The 21,155-nt window shown below is 38.4% G+C and overlaps 1 long non-coding RNA gene across 9 annotated transcripts in view; it reads right to left on the bottom strand.

Moving 5' to 3' along the window:
- LOC105379362 (uncharacterized) overlaps positions 1–21,155 on the bottom strand; it is a 122,073-nt gene that overhangs the window by 50,921 nt on the left and 49,997 nt on the right. For 4 of the 9 annotated variants that reach the window (NR_188151.1, NR_188153.1, NR_188152.1 and 1 more), the window contains exon 2: positions 2,813–2,928. The exons of 4 other annotated variants lie outside the window; for them this stretch is intronic. This is a non-coding gene — a long non-coding RNA (uncharacterized LOC105379362). Of the gene's footprint in view, positions 1–2,773; positions 2,929–21,155 lie in introns of all 9 variants that reach the window. One more of the 9 variants, NR_188148.1, reaches the window with a different exon arrangement.

The raw sequence follows: 21,155 nt of genomic DNA, 5'->3' as shown, positions 1-21,155 counted from the left end.
GTGACTTTCTTCCAAAGAGTATATAGTATAAGAATCTTAGTATGTATCCTGACATGATGAGCTGAGAATGGCACTGTCATAGTCCATTCTCTATTGCTATAACAGGTTATTAAAAGTAGAAGTTTATTTGGCTCAGGGTTCTGGAAAGTAGGAAAACCAGGAGTGTGGAACCAGCACCTTGTGAGAGTTATCCCATGGGGAAAGGCAGAAGGTGGAAGAGAGCATGAGAAACAGGCACAAGAGGCCCTACTTGCTATATAATAACCTACTCTCACCATCCACTCCCATGATAATGATATTAATTCATAAGGGCAGAATTCTCATGAACCAATTACCTTTTATTAGGCCCCACCTCCCATCACTGTTGCATTGAGGAGTAAGTTCCCAACATGAACGTTTGTGGGACACATTCAAACCATAGCAGGTACTTTACTTCTGTGTTCTTCTTCCCTAAAATCCATACCCCAATATAATCATGAGAAAAACATCAGACAAATCCCAATAGAGGGATATTCTACAAAATACTTTATCTATACTTCTCCAAACATTCAAGATTATCAAAAACAAAGAGAAACTGTCATAGCCAGAGGAGTCTGAGACGTTACAACTAAATATAACATGGTATCCTGTTTGGGATTCTGGAACACAACAAGGACATCGAAGTAGGGTGTGAACTTTAGTTAATAACATGCACTATTGATTCACTCATTGCAATAAATGTAGTATGCTAACGTAAAAACTCTTTACTACCAGCACAATTTTACATAAATATAAGCTATTCTAAAATAAAAGGCTTATATTACAAAAAGGCAAAGGATGAGGTAGATTTTATTTTGAAGCTTCTAAAAAATATTGGGGAATGTTAAGGTAAATTTTAATAGCTGACAAAGTAGCAAAGTTGTGTCCAAACTACAAGAAACAAAAGTTGCATCCTATTGTGTTTCTGGTAAAATGAAACCTGGAGTATTACATTTGATTCTGAGAGTTAAAGAAAGAATTATACTTTAAAAATGTAATATATCTAGACAACCTCATTAAGGTAGGTAAAGATTGGAAGGTTATTTCACATGAAGAATGTTGTCTTAGCTTGGGTTCTCCCTTGAAAGCAGAGCAGCACTTAAAACAAGGGCTTATGAGTCAGTAGTTTCTGTTTTTTTTTTGGTTTGTTTGAAGTGATTCCATGTAACAGGAGCGGAGGACTTAGGAGAATGAAATAGGCAAGGAGAAAAAGTTGATACGAGATGTTTTCTTGCTGTGGGCACCTAGAGTTCACTTCTATTGACCCTTAAGAAGAGCCATATAGAATGTACCCATCATTTTCTCTTGAAGCACAGAAGTGGGGGTATTTATACCTGCACTTGTATCTCCCATGGGCTAGGTGTTGCCTCATGAACTTAGAAGCCTCTCGTCTTTCCCAAGCTGTGCATATAAACTCTTGCCTGGTTTTATGAAAGCACCAAGGCGGGGAAGACTTGCTATGCAGTGGAGATGAGGTGAGTTGTTGCCAAATTACTACTGTGTGCAGCTGGTTACAGCAGCAATAGATGGAATAAAAGATAGGCCAAAAGGGTGTGAGGCAAAGAAAAGAAGGGAATCTTTTCACAAGGAGAAGAGATATTGGGTGTCTCCAGTAGGAGAGGGAGAAATATCTTTTGTCACTGTAGGGGAATGGACCAGGACCTTTGATGGAAGTGACAGAGACACAGCTTTTATCTCAGTCAGTCCTGTTCAGATTAGCAGTGGGAGATAGGCAAAGAAGAGGTAAACGAGTAGAAAAATGGGGATACATAGAATATGCTAGATATGATGCAAAATCCAAATGCAACAGTTATTCCAATAAATGTGAATGTTTAAACTTACTAGTTAAAAGACTGGCATTAAAAATTTTAAAATGAAACAAGGTATATGAAGAAAATATAATACAACAAAAACAATATCAAAAGCTGGACTTTGTAAGAAAAGAATATGAGACAAAAATGAACTCAAACAAACAGAAAACATTTAATTTTGTTTGCATTAGGTTTACCTGTTTGTAACTGCAGTTTTAAATAGCAGTAGCATAAAACTCATAAAAGTATATCTCTCTCATTCCCATAAAATGAGAAAAAAAGTCAGGAAATGGGCTGGGATGGCAACTACAAGCTTTATCAACTCAAATCAGGTTGAGACCTGGGAAGCCTCAGGGAAAAAAAAAAAAGACATATTCCCCATGGCCATTTCAGATGTAGCCATAGAAATCAAATGATTACAGTAAAACATTCTAGAAGTCAAAGGTAAAAACTAAAGAGAAAACTATCAAAGGGCAGAATCAGGATCTAATCCAGAAATTTTCTGTACTCCACAGTAGAGGAGGCTTTCCCCATGTGTGTCCACTGTATTTTAAATCTGCTATTAACCAGTGGATGCTGTGTCTCTTTTATTCTTCCCTTTTCAGAATGGGAGCTTTTACTGAGGCTACCCTGGCAAGGCTTCATTGTTGTATAGTGGGTATGTGCATATGACACATATAGCTACCTGTTCTTAAGCCATGAAAACATAAGGTCATATTCAGACCTGAAGGAAAGGGTTATGCATGAACCAAGGATCTCAGATTTTGAGCTTAAAATAGTCAATGGATGGGGCTTTGGGTTGTCTCCTTTGGCAGGAAGTTCTCTTCTATGTATGAAAAGGACAAAATAAAAGGGGTGGAGCAAGATGGCAGAATAGAAGGCTACAACAATTGTCCCCTGTTGCAAGGACACCAATGTAACAACAATCCACACCAAAAAAGCACCTTTGTAAGCAGCAAAAATCAGGTGAGCACTTATGGTACCTGGCTTTAACTTCAGATCACTGAAAGAAACACTGAAGAGGTAGGAAAAGAAGTCTTGAATCACTGATGCCACCTCTCCTGCAATCCTTGGCCGCAGTGGAGAGTGTTTCTGTGCCCTGGGGAAGAGGAAGGGCAGCAATTGTGAGATACTGAACTCAGTGCTCCCTTGTTATAGCAGAAAGCAAAACCAGACCAAATTCAGCTAATACTCACCCATAGAGGGAGCATTTAAACCAGTCCCACCCAAAGAGGAATTGCTAAGGATCGTGGTCAGATCCTGAATTCCCACAAGCCTTGCTATGATAAGCTAAAGTGCTCTGGGGCTCTAAATAAACTTGAAAGGCATTCTAGGCCACAAGGACTGCAACACCTAGATGAGTCCTAGTGTGGACTGGAGGAGCATGTGACATACTGAGACACCAGCAGGGGCAGCTAAGGGAGTACTAGTATCACCTCTCCCCTTACCCCAGGCTGCACAGAGCACAGCTCCAAAAGAGATCCCTTCCTTCCACTTGAGAAGAAGAGATGGAAGAGTGAGAAGGACTTTGTCTTACATCTTGGATACCAGCTCAGCCATAGCAGGATAGGACACCGGTCAGAGTCATGAGGTCCCCATTCCAGGCCCTAGCTCTCAGAAGACATTTCTAAACACATCCTAGACCAGAAGGGAGCCCGCTGCCTTGAATGAAAGGACCCATTCCTGGCAGCATTCATCACTTGCTAACTAACTAAAGAGCCTTGAGTCCTGAATAACTAGCAGTGATGGCCAGGTTCTACAATGAGGGCCTTGGGTGACACTCTGAGACTTGCTGGCTTCAGATGAGGCTCAGCACATTCCCAGCTGTGGTGGCTATGGGGCAAGTTTCCTGCTTGAGCAAAGCAGAGGTAAAAGTAAAGGGTACTTTGTCTCACACCTTAGGTACCAGCGCATCCACAGGAGGGTAGAGCACCAAGCAGACCCTTGAGGTCCCCAATTCTGAGACTTGGCTCTTGGATGGCATTTCTGGACTTTCCCTGAGCCAGAAGGGAATCCGCTCCCCCTGAAGGCTGTGTCCCAGACCAGGCAGCATTTACCACAAGCTGACTGAACAGCCCTTGGGGCTTAAGGGAACATCAGAAGTAGTCTGGCAGTACTCTGTGTGTGTGTGTGTGTGTGTGTGTGTGTGTGTGTGTGTGAGGTGGAGGTGTCAAGGGGGGAGGCTCCTCTGCCTTTAGAAAGGGGAGGGAAGAGTAGGAAGGACCGTCTTGTGGTTTAAGTGCCAGCTTCTCTGCAGTACAACAGAACACCAAGTAGACTTCTGAGGTTTTTGCCTCTAGTCCCTGGCTCCTAGACAGCACTTCTGCACCTTTCCAGGGCCTGGGGGAACTTGCTGCCCTGAAATGAAGGACACAAACCTGGCTGGCTTTGCCACCTGCTGATTGCAGAAGCCCAGGGCTTTCAGTGAATGTATGTGGTAGCCAGGAAGTGGTTATATCAGGCCTTGGGCAAGATCTGGTGGTGGTCACAGGGGTGCTTGTGCCACTCTACCCACAGTTCCAGGTGGCTCAGAAAAGAGAGCAAGGGAAGAGAACAAGAATCTCTGCCTGAAAATTCAGAGAAGTCTTCTGGATATTGTCCAAAACCATCAAGATGGTACCTCTATGAGTCTGCAAGAACTGCAGTGTTACCAGGCTCGAGGTCCCCCCACTAAAGCAGATGCAGCTTAGATTATAACACCTAAGTGCTTTAGAATATACGGAAAGCCTTCCCAAGAAGTATGGGTACAAACAAGCTCAGACTGAGAAGACTATAATAAATACCTAATTCTTCAATGCTCAGACACAGATGAACATCTACAAGTGTCAAGACAATTCAGGAAAACATAAACTAAATAAGGCATAGGGACCCAAGCTGGATAAAGAGAGATATGTGACCCTTCAAACAGAGAATTCAGAAAAGCTGTTTTGAGAAAACTCAAAGAAATGCAGGATAAGAGAGAGGGAATTCAGAATTCTATCAGATAAATTTAACAGTGATTGAAATCATCAAAAATCAAGCAGAAATTCTGGAGTTGAAGAAAGCAACTGGCATACTGAAGAGTTTTTTAATAGGAGAATTAAGCAGGAGAAAGAATTAGTGAGCTTGAAGACAGGTTATTTGAAAATAGAAGAGACCAAAGAAAACTGAGTAAACAGTGAAGCACACCTACGAGGGATCTAGGGATCTAGAATACAGCCTCAGAGGGGCAGAGTTATTGGCCTTAAAGAGGAGGTACAGATGGGGTAGAAAGCACATTCAAAGGGATAATAACAGAGAACTTTCCAAACCTAGAAAATGATACTAATATCCAAGTACAAAAAGGTTATAGGACACCAAACAGATTTAACCCAAAGAAAGTTACCTCAAGTTGTATTATTTTATTTAATAATAAAACTCCCAAAGGCCAAAGATAAAGAAAAGATCCTAAAAGCAGCAAGAGAAAAGATACAAGTAACATACAATGGAGCTCCAATACATCTGGCAGCAGACCTCTCAGTAGAAACCTTACAGGCCACGAGAGAGTGGTATGACATATTTAAAGTGCTGAAGGGAAAAAAAAACCTTTACCCTGGAATAGTATATCCAGCAAAGTTATCCTTCAAACACGAAGCAGATATAAAGACTTTCCCAGACAAACAAAAGCTGAGGGATTTCATCAATACCAGACCTGCCCTACAAGAAATGCTAAAGGGAGTATGTCAATCAGAAAGTAAAGAACATTAATGAGCAATAAGAAATCATCTGAAGGTACAAAACTCACTGGTAATGTTAATTACAGAAAAACCGGAGTATTATAACACTATAACTGTGGTGTGTAAACTACTCTTTAAGTAGAAATACCAAACAATGAACCAATAAAAAGTAACTATTACAACTTTTGAAAACAAAGTACAATAAAATATAAATAGTAAAAAAAAATTAAGGTGCAGAGTCTTTATTAGTCTTCTTTTTGTTTATGCAAACAATGTTGTTATCAGCTTTAAATAATGGGTTATAAGATAGTATTTGCAAACCTCACAGTAACCTCAACCCAAGAAACAATGGATACACAAAAAATAAAAAGCAAGAAACTAAATCATATAACCAGAGAAAATCACCTTCACTAAACGCAGGCAGGAAGGAAAGAAGACGACAGAACAACCAGAAAACAAATAGCAAAATGGCAAGAGTAGGTGCTTACTTATCAATAACAACATTGAATCTCTTCAATCAAATTCTTCAATTGAAACTCTTCAATCAAAAGATAGAGTGGCTGATTGGGTGAAAAATCAAGGCCCATTAATCCTTTGCCTACCAGAAACACACTTGACCTATAAAGACAAAAATAGACTGAAAATAAAGAGATGGAAAAAGATATTCCATGCCAATGAAAACCAATAAAGAGCAGGAGTGGCTATACCTATATCGACAAAATAGATTTCTAAAAAACTACAAGAAGGGGCAAAGAAGGTCACTATATAATCATAAAGGGGTCCCTTCAGCAAGAGAATATAACACTTTTCAAAATATATGCACCCAATACTGGAAAACCCAGATATATAAAGAGAATATTATTAGAGCTAAAGGGATAGGTCCCAATATAATCATAGTTGAGAGTTCAACACCCCACTTTCAGCACTGGACAGATTTAACAGAGAAAAAACCAATAAAGAAACATCAGACTTAATCTGCACAATAGAATAAATGGATCTAATACATATTTATAGAATATTTCATCCAAGAGCTACAGAATACACATTCTTTTCCTCACCATATGGATCATTCTCAAGGACAGGCCATATGTTAGGTCACAAAACAAGTCTTAAAACATTCAAAAACTGAAATAATATCAAGCATCTCTGACCACAATGGAATAAAACTAAAAATTAATAATGAGGAATTTTTGAAACTACAAAGAAATTAAACAATATGCTCTCAAATGACCAGTGGGTCAATGAAAAAATTACAAAAATTGAAAAATTTCTTGAAACAGACGATAATGGAAACACAACATACCAAAACCTATGGGATACAGCAAAAGCAGTACTAAGAGGAAAGTTTAAATCTGTAAGTGGCTATATATCAAAACAGGGAAAAACTTCAAATAAACAATCTAGTGATGTATCTTAAAGGACTAGAAAAGAGCAAACCAAACCCAAAATTAGTAGAAAAACAAATAATAAAATCCCAAAAGAAATAAATGAAACATAAAGTTGGGGTTTTGAAAAGTTAAACAAAGTAGACAAATCTTTAGCCAGACTAAGAAAAAAAAAAGAAAAAATCCAAATAAAATCAGAGACAATTGGTACCACAGAAATTCAAAGGATCATCAGTGGCTACTGTAAGCAACTATATGCCAATAAATTGGAAAATCTAGAAGAAATGGACAAATTCCTAGACACATACAACCTACCATGATTGAAACAAGACGACAAACAAAACCTGAACAGACCAATAACAAGGAATGAGATTGAAGCTGTAATAAAAAGTCTCCCAGTAAAGAAAAGCCTGGGACCCAGTTGATTCACTGCTGATTTCTAGCAAATGTTTAAAGAAGAATTAATCCTACTCAAGCTATTCCAAAAAAAAGAGAAGGAGAGAATACTTCCAAACTCATTCTATGAGGCCACTATTACTCTGATACCAAAACCAGACAAAGCCACACCAAAAAAAGATAACTACAGGCCAGTATCTCAGGTGAATATTGATGCAAAAATCCTCAACAAAGTATTAGCAAACCCAGCCAGGTGCAGCAGCTCATGCCTGTAATCCCAGCACTTTAGGAGGCTGAGGCAGGTGGACTGCCTGAGCTCAGGAGTTCAAGACCAGCCTGGGCAACATGGTGAAACCCTGTCTCTACTAAAATAAAAAAAATTAGCCAGGTGTAGCAGCATATCCCTGTAGTCCCAGCTACTCGGGAGACCGAGGCAGGAGAATTGTTACAACCTGGGAGGCGGAGGTTCCAGTGAGCCAAGATTGCACCACTGCACTCCAGCCTGGGTGACAGAGCAAGACTCCATCTCAAAAATAAATAAATAAATAAAAAATAGCAAACTGAATTCAACAATACCTTGAAAATATCATTCATTGGCCAGGCACAGTGGCTCATGCCTGCAATCCCAGCACTTCAGGAGGCCGAGGTGGGTGGATCACCTGAGGTCAGGAGTTTGAGACCAGCCTGACTAACATGGAGAAACTTCCTCTCTACTAAAAATAGAAAGTTAGCTGGGCATGGTGGTACATGTCCGCAATCCCAGCTACTTGGGAGGCTGAGGCAGTAGAATCACTTGAACCCGGGAGGCAGAGGTTGCGGTGAGCCAAGATCACACCATTGCACTCCAGCCTGGGCAACAAGAGTGAAACTTTGTCTCAAAAAAAAAAAAAAATCATTTATCATGATCAAGTGGGATTTATCCCTGGGATGCAAGGATGGTTCAATGTATGCAAATCAATGTGATACATCTTATCAATAGAATTAAGGACAAAACCCATATGATCATTTCAATTCATGCTGAAAAAGCATTTGATCAAATTTAACATCAGATCATGATAACCCTCAAAAAACTGGGTAAAGAACACATATCAACATAATAAAAGCTATATATGACAGACCTACAGCTAGTATTGTACTGAATAAGGATAAACTGAAAGCCTTTCCTCTAAGATGTGGAACACAACAAGGATGCCCACTGTTATTCAACATAGTACAAGAAATCCTAGCTAGAGCAATCAGATAAGAGAAAGATATAAGGGGCATCCAGATAGGAAAGGAAGAAGTCAAGTTATCCTTGTTTGCAGATGATATCTTATATTTGGAAAAATCTAAAGACTCCATGAAAAACTATTAGAACTATTAGAAACAAATTTAGTAAAGTTGCAGGATACAAAAATCACCATACAAAAATCCATAGCATTTCTATATGCCAACAGTGAGTAATCCGAAAAAGAAATGAAAAGCCACACATAAAATTCAATACCTAGAAATTAACCAAGGAAGTGAGAGATCTTTATAATAAAGACTGTAAAATGCTGATAAAAGAAATTGAAGGACACACAAAAAATGGAGATATTCCATATTCATGGATTGAAAGAATATTGTTAAAATGTCCATACTACCCATAGCAATCTATAGATTCAATGTAATCCCTTATCAAAATACCAAGGACATTCTTCACAGAAATAGAAAAAAAAAATCCTACAATTTACACAGAACCACAGAAGTCCCAGAATAGCCAAAGCTATCCTAAGCAAAAAAGAACAAAACTAGAGGAATCACATAACCTGACTTCAAATTATAGCTGACTACAGAGCTATAGTAAACAAAGCAGCATGGTACTGGCATAAAAACAGACACACAGACCAATGGAACAGAATAGAGAACCCAGAAAAAAATCCACACACCTACAGTGAACTCATTTTTGGCAAAGGAGCCAAAAGCATACACTGAAGAAAGCACAGTCTCTTCAATAAGTGGTACTGGGAAAACTGGATATCTATGTGTGGAAGAATGAAACTAGACCCCTATCTCTCACCGTATACAAAAATGAAATCAAAATTTATTAAAGACTCGCATCTAACACCTCAGCGTACAAAACTACTACAAGTAAACATTGGGGAAAATCTCCAGGACATTGCTCCAAGCAAAGATTTCTTGAGTAATACCCCACAAACACAGGCAAACAGAGCAAAAATGGACAAATGGGATCACATCAAGTTAAAAACCTTCTGTACAGCAAAGGAAGCAATCAACAAAGTTAATAGAAAACCCACAGAATGGGAGAAAATATTTGCAAACTCTGACAAGGGATCAATAACCAGCATATAGGGGGAGCTCAAACAACTCTATAGGAAAAACGTCTAATAATCCTATTTTAAAATGGGCAAAAGATCTGAATACCTTCCTTAAAAGAATATTTACAAACGGCAGTCAGACATATGAAAAGGTGCTCAATACCATTGATCAGAGAAATGCAAATCAAAACTACAGTGAGATATCATCTGATCCCAGTTAAAACGCCTTACATCCAAAACTTGGGCAATAACAAATGCCGGCAAGGATGTGAAGCAAAGGGAACCCTTGTACACTGTTTGTGGGAATGTAAATCTGTAAAACTACTATAGAGAACAGTTTGGAGGTTGCTCAAAATACTAAAAATAGAGCTACCATATGCTCCAGCAATCGCACTGCTGGACATATACCCAAAAGGAAATCAGTATATCAAAGAGATATCTGCACTCCCATGTTTGTTGCAGCTCTGTTCACAATAGCCAAGATTTGGAAGCAATCTAAGTGTCCATGAACAGATAAATAGATAAAGAAAATGTGGTACTTATACACAACGGAGGACTATTCAGCCATTAAAAAGAAGAATGAGGTTGTCATTTGCAACAACACGATGGAACTGGAGGTCATTAGGTTGAGTGAAATAAGTCAGGCACAGAAAGACAAATATTGCATGTTCTCACTTATTAGTGGGACCTGAAAATCAAAACTACTGAACCCATGGAGACAGACAGTAGAAGGATGGTTACCAGATGATAGGAAGGGTAGTGGTGGGGTTGGGGAGAGATGGGGATGGTTAATAGGTACAAAAAATAGAATGAATGAATAAGACCTAGTATTTGATAGCACAACAGGGTGACTATAGTCAATTAATTATACATTTTAAACTAACTAGTAGAACTGTATTGTTTGTAACACAAAGGATAAATGCTTGAGGCGATGAATACCCTATTTTCCATGATGTGATTTTTACACATTGCATGCATGCCTGTATCAAAACATCTGAGGTACTCCATAAATATATATACCTCCTAAGTACCCACAAAAATTACAAATAAAAAATTATTTTAAAAACCAAAAAGAAGAACAAAATAGGTTATTTAAAAACAACAAGGATGGGCTCTATCAGAGTTTAGTTTTTCACTAAGCCCATTTCCTCTTCTTCCTGGACCTACAGATAAACTTTCACTTTATTTTATTTATTGATTTATTTTTTGAAGTTCTAGTTAATGAAATGTGAATGGCAGTGATATGCACCAGTTCCTGGCCTGGACCATAAAATCCTGAGATACATGATCCTCCATCCTTTTTCACCTTCGGCAAACTTGATGGACATCATGAGCATTCTAAGTTTAGAGGCCAATGGTTGAAGATGGTGGAGCCACGAGATGGAAGGAGCCTGGATCCCCAAATCACAGCATGGAAATGAGCTAGCTTTTTGTCTAGGGCTATATTTTAGGCTTTATCTGAGCTAGAAATAACCTTTTGTTTGAGCTATAATACATTTTTTTTTAAGTTTTATTACAGCATCTAGCAAAAACAGCAGCCAAAAACTATTGCAACAAAAGCAAATTGTAAATTCCATGTGGGAAATTATTTATATTTTCATCTTTTCTCAGCATGGAGCATTCCCTTTTATCATTTATATAAACATCTGTATCTAATAAATGATTCCTGATATTTACAATTTAAAGTAGTATTGCTTGCTTTTGTGAAGAATCAAATCCATGCTCATTGTACTTTCATTCCCATATAATTCTCTAAAGTCCTCCCCAGCTTTATTATTCTCCCAGAGCTGTAACTCTGGACTCTTAAGTAGTTAAGTTTAATTCTTCTCCATGTCAATCCTGATATACGCTAGTTTTTGCCTTATATTTTTCTTTCCCCCAAAACTGCCATACCACTATGTAGGGAAGAGTGTTTATTATTCTTCCTCCAATGTCCATTGTCCACTTGAACCACTGTAACAGAACCCCTTTTAGATAAATATGTGGCCAACCCAAATAAATAAATACTGTACTACCTAGGATGCCTTGTATCTACATACAGAGTTTTGGCTAGGCTTTTACCAAATGGATATAAACAGAAATTTGTGCAACTTCCAGATGTATCCTCTTTCTCAGTTGCTAGAACGTGCATGTGATTGCTGGAGTTCCAGCAGCCATCTTGGACCTTAAAGTGACTTTGAGCATAGAAGCTCTGCATGGGAGAAATACAAGATAAAAAGAGGCTGAATTATACCAGAAGCAGAAGATCTTATATTCCTTTTACATGTGAGAGAAATCGATTTCTTCCTAATACAGCTCTTCCTGTTTTGTTTTTTTCTCATAAAACTCAAACATAATTCTAATTTTATCTCTAAGTATCCTAAATAAATGTAACTTCTAGATTTTAGTTGGATATCTACAGTTCTAAATTATTATTCAAGAACCATACATTTGATGGAAAGTTTTTTTCCCAATTGGAGAGAACCCATTGTGTATTTCTTGTAATCCAATAAGGTTATATGATAGCCACGAAAGATACAGATTTTATCTGAGGATCAATTCAGAAAGACTCATCTTCTCTCCCAGAGCTGTAACTGGGATCTTAAGTAGTTAAGTTTAATTCGTGAGCTGGTTCTTAGATGTTGATGTTAACTCTCAAACTCTAGCTGCATACAAATACACATGTGTGTGCACACACATACACAGAGAGAGAGTAAACAAATTTGTTTCTCCAACTGGATGAAGAACATTCTGAGCATATAAACAAAGAAAACGTGCGCCTCACCCAAGCTCTCTGGTTCTACCATTTAACTCTGAATTCCATCAGTACCCTTCTGCAGACAGTTACTCAAGATACTTCTGTCTGTATCATTTACTATTTTCACATATTTTTTACTCAGTATAGTCCAAGCTTCAAAGATGATAATAAAAAGAGCACTGAAATCAGACTGACCTGAATTTACCAACCACATGGTGATTGCGTGTTACTTCATCACTTAGTTTCATTCATTTTTCATCACTTAGTTTATTTTATCTACAAAATACATTTTTTACCTCAGAGTTGTTGAAAGAACTGAATGAGATAATTTAGTGCATGCAAAAACATGCATTAAAGTGTTTTACAGAATATTTGTGCTAAATAATTGTTGACAGATTTCCTTTTTAACTGAACTTCTTTCTCTGTTTTACCGACTGTTTTCCTCTTGAAAGAAACCTTGAAATATTCTAATCCTCTTGAAATATTCTAATAAAATATTCAAAATGGAGAAAAATTAAACAGGATCATCTTAATACTTGAAGGGGCTACAAAGTGAGGTTTATCTACAAGGATGCTCTAAATAAATTTTTTTACACTATTGATTGTTGATCTCAAATGTAAGTATCACTGCTCATGGGTAAAATAATCCATAGGAAACATCAGCTCAAGAATAACCGCAGCCTTTGAATTAACTATTCCAATGTCTAAGAAGTCACTTTAGAAAGACTTCTGGCTTCTACTAAATCTCTATCCAGTACTAACATTGGCTTGCATTTAATACAGGAGGTAATGAGAGGTCATTTGAGTTGTTCTTTGAAGCAGCCAACAACTTTTATGACTGTACTCAGAGGAGAGCCAAGGACTTAATTCTCATTTGTAAACTGAAGACATGTGATTAGGTAACTTTCAGTTGTAAAAATTGTATGATTAGCTAATTATTCATTAGAGAGGTTCTAGCTCGTTAAATTTATCTCACATGAATCAATTTATGTCAGTTCAAGCCTGGCAAAACCAAACCATTAAAAAACAAGTTGTTTTGGGTTTTATCTTGGGCTTGCACAGAGTACACTACAAAAAAATACAAACAAAAATTGTTAAGGATATTTTATCCTGAGGATAATTTAAAATTTTATAGAACAATCAATAGCTTTTTCTACATGGACTATGGTTAAAAGAAGTGGAGGTGGGTTGGGGGAGGAGGAAGAAAAAGAGAGGGCTCAGAATTTCTCCCAGCGTTACTTAACACCATCTTCTTCTGCAGGCAATGATGAATGTAACACTTTTTTCCCTCTCATGATAGCCCTTTCTGTCAGACAAGGACAAACCTCTTATCTTGGGGTTGAATTTTTCTCAGTAATGAGTATTTCCATCTCACATGTTCCAAGACGAAGAGAAGGGAGGAAAAGCAGATATGGAATCTCTCTTCCACCATTCTAACATCATTTTCAGCATTTCTTTAGGACAAGCTGGATGTGGCTATGCCCTGAATACCTTCCCAATCTTCAGCACCAACTAAAACAATTACTTCCTACTCTGGGCTTCCAAAAGAAATTGTAGGAAAAACAGTGAAAATATTTCTTAGGCAGCCATTACCTTTAAGGAACAAATTAGAGGTATTTCCATTTCTTCTGATTAGTAGTGCTATTTTTTATAGCATTCCAGGCAAATGTTAGCACCTGGGATCACTGCAGCCATGCTACATTTAACAGCCACCAGCATTTGGTCTAATATTTACAAACTCTTAGGAAGTAAGTGGGAAGATGACCCTGGTGGAAAATTTGCATAGTCTTTTCCTGTGGGGAAAGGACCTCACAGCTTTACCTAAATGCAGGCAGACTATCCCATCACAATCAAGTTATGGGCATAGAAGGTAACACAAAATGTGTGTTTCTCTCACCACGACTGTTCTCTTGTTAACTAATACACTTTGTAATGACACAGAAAACAGCCTTTTGAAAGAAAATAAAACAAGGGAAGTCCAAATATTTCTCAAATATTTTGGTTATGCAATTGAATACCAAGACCTAACATTAAAATTCTTTTCTTTTTTTTTTTTTTTGAGATGGAGTCTCACTCTGTTGGCCAGGCTGGAGCGCAGTGGTGCGATCTCGGCTCACTGCAACCTCCGCCTCCTGGGTTCACACCATTCTCCTGCCTCAGCCTCCTGAGTAGCTGGGACTACAGGCGCCCGCCACCACACCCAGCTAATTTTTTTGTATTTTTTTTAATACAGACGGGGTTTCACCATGTTAGCCAGGATGGTCTCGATCTCCTGACCTTGTGATCCACCTGCCTCGGCCTCCCAAAGTGCTGGGATCACAGGCGTGAGCCACCGTGCCCGGCCTAAAATCCCTTTTTGTACTTAAAGCTACTACTTTGTGGAAAATTTTATGACAAATTTGTTTCTTGGGATTTGCAGTTGATCAATAGCTTTTATTTCATCTTGAAGCAAAAGAAGACTCTGAACAGAATTCTACTGTGCAATTCAAACAAGTTTTTGTTAGGATTAAAATATATGATGATACTGAGGGATGCTTGCATGTATACATCAATTATTTTTCAAGCTTGAGGTATGGTTGAAAATTTAATATTGTATATATTTAACACATACAACTTGATGATTTGATACCTATATGCATTATGAAATATCCAGTACAATGAAGCCAATTAACATTTCTATCACCTCATAGTTACCTGTGAGGTAAGAACACTTCTGCTCTAACCTCTTAACAAATTTCAAGTATATTATACAATATTGTTAATTATAGTCACATTGTTGTACATTAGGTCTCTAGAATTTATCTTGCAAAACTGAAATTCTGTAGCTCTTCACAAACATCCCCTCATACCCCCTACTCCCTGAACCCTTAGTAACTACCATTCTAGTCTTTGACATTTTTAGATTTGACATTTTTATTTTATTTTTATTTATTTATTTTTTTTTGAGAGGGAGTTTTTGCTCTGTTGCCCAGCCTGGGGTGCACTGACATGATCTCGGCTCACTGCAACCTCTGCTTCCTGGGTTCAAGCAATTCTCCTGCCTCAGACTCCCGAGTAGCTGGGATTACAGGCGCTCACCACCACACCTGGCTAATTTTTGTATTTTTAGTAGAGATGAGGTTTCACCATGTTGGCCAGACAGGTCTCGAACTCTTGACCTCAACCTCCCAAAGTGCTAAAATTACAGGCGTGAGCCACTGCGCCCAGCCAGATTTGACATTTTTTGATTCCATCTATAAAGAACATGCACTTCCTTCAGCCAACAAGTATTTATCAAGTAACAATTATGTGCTAAAACTGTTCGTAGCATTGATTACACTGTGGTGAAAACAAAAATCCATCAGATAAAATCTCTGCCTGTGTAGAGTTCACAGTCTAGTGGGAGAGGCAGACATTACATATTTAAAATTTTAAATAAATATATAATTATTAAAACTAGGTTACTCTGAGACAGGATAAATGTAGAGAGCTTATTTGAATTGCTTTAGGGAGGGAGGTCACATAAGTTCTCTCTGAGAAAGAAACATTTAAATTAAAACCTCAAGGTTGAGTAAGATTTAACCAAGAGGAATGTTTCGGGGGAAGAATTCCAGGCAGAGAAAACTTCAGCACCATCCAGTAGTGCTGAAAGATTCAAGTTTCACCAACATCAGGCCTCAGGTGAGATAATTCTTATACTATGTTTCTAAAAATTGGAAATTTCCTGGATGACATCATGGAGTTGGATCTTCATTATGTATGGAAATTCACAGTGATGAAACACTCCAGTGATTCTCTTGACTGGATAAAATTTGGCATTTATAATGGCTAAAAATAAACTTTAGCTTGTAAGACTTGTTCACCTAATTTCACAGAAACGAAAGTAGTAGCTTCTACTTAAGATTATATTTTCAGATATAAAGTCTTGCTAATAGGGTCAGAAACCCCTAGGAAATATGCACAAATATTTATAGATGATTTCAGATACAAAGAAAATCATGCAGATTGTTATGTTTCTTTCCAGGAGGATCTCCTTGTCATTCAAAATCTTTTTTGAAAAATGCTGAGAGTCTATAACATCATATAATTATGTCATTTCTTATTCTGAAAAGGCTGGTAGTTCTGCCATGTTCACAAGTTCCACAGTGTTCAGAAATACTACAATACTTACAAGAGAGTGCATATATAGACTAAAGTCTGCTTTTTAGTTTAGTTGGTTTTTTTTGTTTTTGTTTTTTGTTTTTTTTTTTGTAGACAGGGTCTTACTCTGTCACGCAGCAGGAGTGCAGCGGCACAAGCGTTAATCATTGCAGCCTTGAACTGCTGGTTTCAGGAGATCCTCCCACCTCAGCCTCCCGAGTAGCTGGGACTAAAGGTATGTGCCACTGCAACCGGCTAATTTTTAAATGTTTTTGTAGAGACAGGTCTCACTTTGTTGCCCAGGTTGGCCTCGAACTCCTGACCTCAAACAATCCTCCTGCCTTATCTTCTCAAAGTGCTGGGAGGACAGGCATGACCCAACACTCCCAGCTTAAAGTCTATTAAATTACATCTCAAATCTCTGCCAAAGATATTGAGATTTCTAGGCTGTATTGTATACAACAGAGCTGCCTGTCTCTCAATTCATTCAAAAAAGTAGGTATATATGATTTTTATTAACTTCCTTATTGCTCTCTTAGCCATTTTCCAAAGGGTATTTCATAAAACATCAGATTTAAGGGCTTACTAGATGTGATGTTAAAAAAAGATTTTTTAATTTAGTGTGTGGAAATGCCAAATCGAACAAATTAAAAAAGTATTATTGCATAATCATTCAGATCCTTTCATACGCTAAACGCTGATTGATAAAATCAAGAGAGGTATTGCACTTGATTTCCAAGATACCTTTATCTATAGGACCTTATTTTAACAATATTTGGGAATCAGCATTCTGTGAAGTACTCTTTGGAAATGCTGCCTTAATGAAAAATTTTAAGTTGAATGAGTGAAGCAGGTATCTAGGAATCACCTTACATGAGAACTTTTACAAAGTGTTAGTAAACAAGGTTTTGCAAATTTCATTATTCAAAATGTCACACTTAGTAAAGAAAAAGAATTGCTACCAATAAAAAGTAATAGTGAATATTAATAACTCTTAAGACTTGCTTTAGCTGAGATCATGTAGAGTTAAATGAGGATATGAGGACCTTACAACACATTAATATGATTTGTGCTGCAACTGCTTTGCAATTATAATAAAATTTCAGACTTTGTTGGAAGCTATTACATTAGGCCAATTTGTTTTCTGCCACTATATTCCATGTCACAGGTCTAAAGAACGCATCAGCAGATAGAGCACAACTATGTTTATCAGTCTTGAATAAACGTGTTTCTTCCAATGTTTGTAGACAAGAACATGCTCAAAGCTTAATATTTATTTTAAACCTACCTGACATTGATTTGTTAACTATGCTTTCCAGAGGCTCCCAAAAAAATCACTGAAGAAAGAAGGTTTTTTTTCCAGTTAGAACGTCAAAGTTTCTCACAGATCATTGTTCTCACAAAAACAACTAGAAAAACTGGACAATTTGGAGGGTTGTGAATGCAAACTAATCAAAATAACTAAATTCCAGAAAGGGAAAAGGCTTTCTTAGGTCAGGTATCAGCAGGTATTGTTCAATGTCCACTGCCTCTCAGGATGCTTGACAGCTTCTGTTTTTATTAGTCAGAGAAAGCTTTATGAGGAGGTGAACTGAGCTTGGATGATAGCATTGGATTAGGTAGGTGGAGAGAAGGCAGGAATTTCAAGTATATGGGGTTCCTGACATGGAGAGTCTCACTCTCTGTTAATGAGACACTGTATGAGTGTGTGTATATATATATATATATATATATACACACACACACATCTATGAGGAGACACTGTGTGTGTGTGTATATATATATACATATATATACACACACACATATATATATAGAGAGAGAGAAAGATAGAGAAGAAAAGTAGACCAGCTGTCTGAATGAAAGCATCATATAAAGGAGCAATGGCATCACAGGAGAGGTGGGTTGACATTATTCTGTGAGAGGTCTTAAATACCAAGCTAAAGTTGTTTACTTTTATTTTCAAGGTCTAATTAAATTATTGAAAATTTTAAGGAGAGAATCCACAGACCCTTTGAAGGAAGCAGATTGCTCCTTCAGGCCCCAGGAGACAGCTGAAAAACTGTGAGTGCCCAAAGTGTGAAAGTATGAAAGAGGGATTGTCTGCCCCAGAACACACACCCTCAATGGGGAACCAACCTGAAGGTTGAGATCACGGGAGAAGGATTTAACCTCACCTGGAGCTGAGACAAATTTAGAGGGCCAAGTGAAATACCCGGGTAGAAGAAGCAGTGGGAAGAGTTCTGTGAGTTCTCCCGGTCCCCAGGGAAGCCATTTCTGACTTTGTCTCACAGAGGTCCTTGGGGAGGGCTGCCAGAGGAACTGGGGAAGGATCACAGGGAGAAGGAAACTTCCAGCTAGACTCTAACAATTTTGACTGAACGTGAAGTTTCCTGGACTCAATTCAGGGGAGGGGGTGAATTAGAAGTACAGACACAGCACGGAATCCCACAGGCTGGGAGGCACAAAACCTGACAGCCCTGCTTGCATTCTTAGCTGGGAGGCTGGTAGCCTGAGGCAAGTTCTCAGCCCTGCTCACCCACTGCCTGGAAATAAACTGGGTGCTGTTGCTGGGTTGGGGGCACAGTGAGAGTGAGACCAGCCTTTTGGGCTGCATGGGAGCTGGGTGAGGCCTATAACAGCTGGCTTTCCCCCACTTCCCTGGCAACCTGGCAACCTGCATGACTCAGCAGAGGCAGCCATAATCTCCCTGAGAACATAACTCCATTGGCCTGAGAACCACAACCCAAATCCACAGCAGCCACAGCAAGCCCGGCCCAAGGAGAATCTGAGCTCAGACACACCTAACCCTGTCCCCACCTGATGGTCTTTCTCTACCCTCATGGGTAGCCACAGACAAAGGACATATCCTTTGGGAGCTCTAGGGCCCCACCCACCACCTGATCCTCCCTATACTACCACAGCTGATGCTCTCTTGAGAGTGCCACCTACTGGCAGGAGGCCAGCCAACACAAAACTAGTGCAATAAACAAAATTACAACTAAGGACCCTTACAGAGCCCATTTCACTCCCCTGCCACCTCCACCAGAGCAGGTGCTGCTATCCATGGGTGAGAGACCTGAAGATGGTTCACATCACAGGACCCTGGGCAGACAACCCTCAGTACCAACTTGGAGCCTGGTAGCTCTGCTGGGTGGCTAGATCCACAAGAGAAATAACAATCACTGCAGTTTGGCTCTCAGGAAGCCACACCCCTAGGGGAACAGGGAGAGCCCTACATCAAGGGAGCATCCCATTGGACAAAAGAATCTGAACAGTACTGAGCCACAGATCTTTCCTCTGATATAGTCTACCCAAGTGAGAAGGAACCAGAAAAACAATTCTGGTAATATGACAAAACAAGATTCTTTAACACCACCAGAAGATCACACTAGCTCACCAGCAATGGATCCAAACCAAGAAGAAATTCCTGAATTGCCAGAAAAATAATTCAGGAGATCCATTATTAAGCTAATCAAGAAGACACCAGAAAGATGTTAAGTCTAACTTAATGAAATAAAAAAAAATGATACAAGATATGAGAGAAAAATCTTCAGTGACATAGCTTAAATAAGAAACCATGATTTCTGGAAATGAAGGACACAGAGAAATGCAAAATACATTGAATGATTTAGGGAGGATTTTCTCTTTATCTTGTGGAATAGTGTCAATAGAATTGGTATCAATTCCTCTTTGAATGTTTGATAGAATTCAGCTGTGACTCCATCTGGTCCTGGCCTTTTTTTATTGGCAATTTTTTACCATGTCAATCTTGCTGCTTGTTATTGGTGTGTTCAGAGTTTCTAATTCTTCCTGGTTTAATCTAGGAGGGTTATGTATTTCCAGGAATTTATTCATCTCCTCTAGGTTTTGTAGTTTATGTGCATAAAGATGTTCACAGTGGCCTTGAATGATCTTTTGAATTTCTGTGGTATCAGCTGTAATTTCTCATGCTTTGTTTCTAATTGAGCTTATCTGGATCTCTCTTCTTTTCTTGGTTAATGTTGCTAATGGCCTATCAATTTTATATACCTTTTCAAGGAACCGGCTTTTTCTTTCATTTATCTCTTGTATTTTTTGGTTCCTCAGTTTCATTTAGTTCTGCTCTGATCTTTGTTATTTCTTTTCTTCTGCTAGGTTTGGGTTTGGTTTGTTCTTGTTTCTCTAGTTTCTTGAGGTGTGACTTTAGATTGTCTATTGGGGCTCTTTCAGACTTTTTGATGTAGGCATTTAAGGCTATGAACTTTCCTCTTAGCGCCACCTTAGCTTTATCCCAGAGGGTTTGGTGGATTGTGTCACTGTTATCATTCAGTTCAAAGAATTTTTAAATTTCCGTCTTGATTTTACTGTTTACCGAACAATCATTTGGGAGCAGGTTATTTAATTTCCATGTACTTGCATTGTTTTGAGGGTTCCCTTTGGAGTTGATTTCCAATTTAATTCCACTGTGGTCTGAGAGAGTAGTTGATATAATGTCAGTTTTCTTCAATGTACTGAGACTTGTTTTATGGCCTATCATATGGTCTGCCTTGGAGAATGTTCCATGTGCTGATGAGTAGAATGTATATTCTGTAGTTGTTGGGTAGAATCTTCTGTAAATACCTATTAAGTCCATTTTTTCTAGGGTATAGCTTCAATCCATTGTTTCTTTGTTCAGTAAGGTGCGATACCACCTTAATTAATGGCCATAATTAAAA

This window comes from Homo sapiens, chromosome 8, assembly GCF_000001405.40.
Source record: "Homo sapiens chromosome 8, GRCh38.p14 Primary Assembly".
In the NCBI taxonomy this organism is placed as follows: Eukaryota; Metazoa; Chordata; class Mammalia; order Primates; family Hominidae; genus Homo; species Homo sapiens.
The sequence above is the reverse complement of the archived record's forward strand: the minus strand, read 5'-3'. Positions and strand labels throughout refer to the sequence as shown.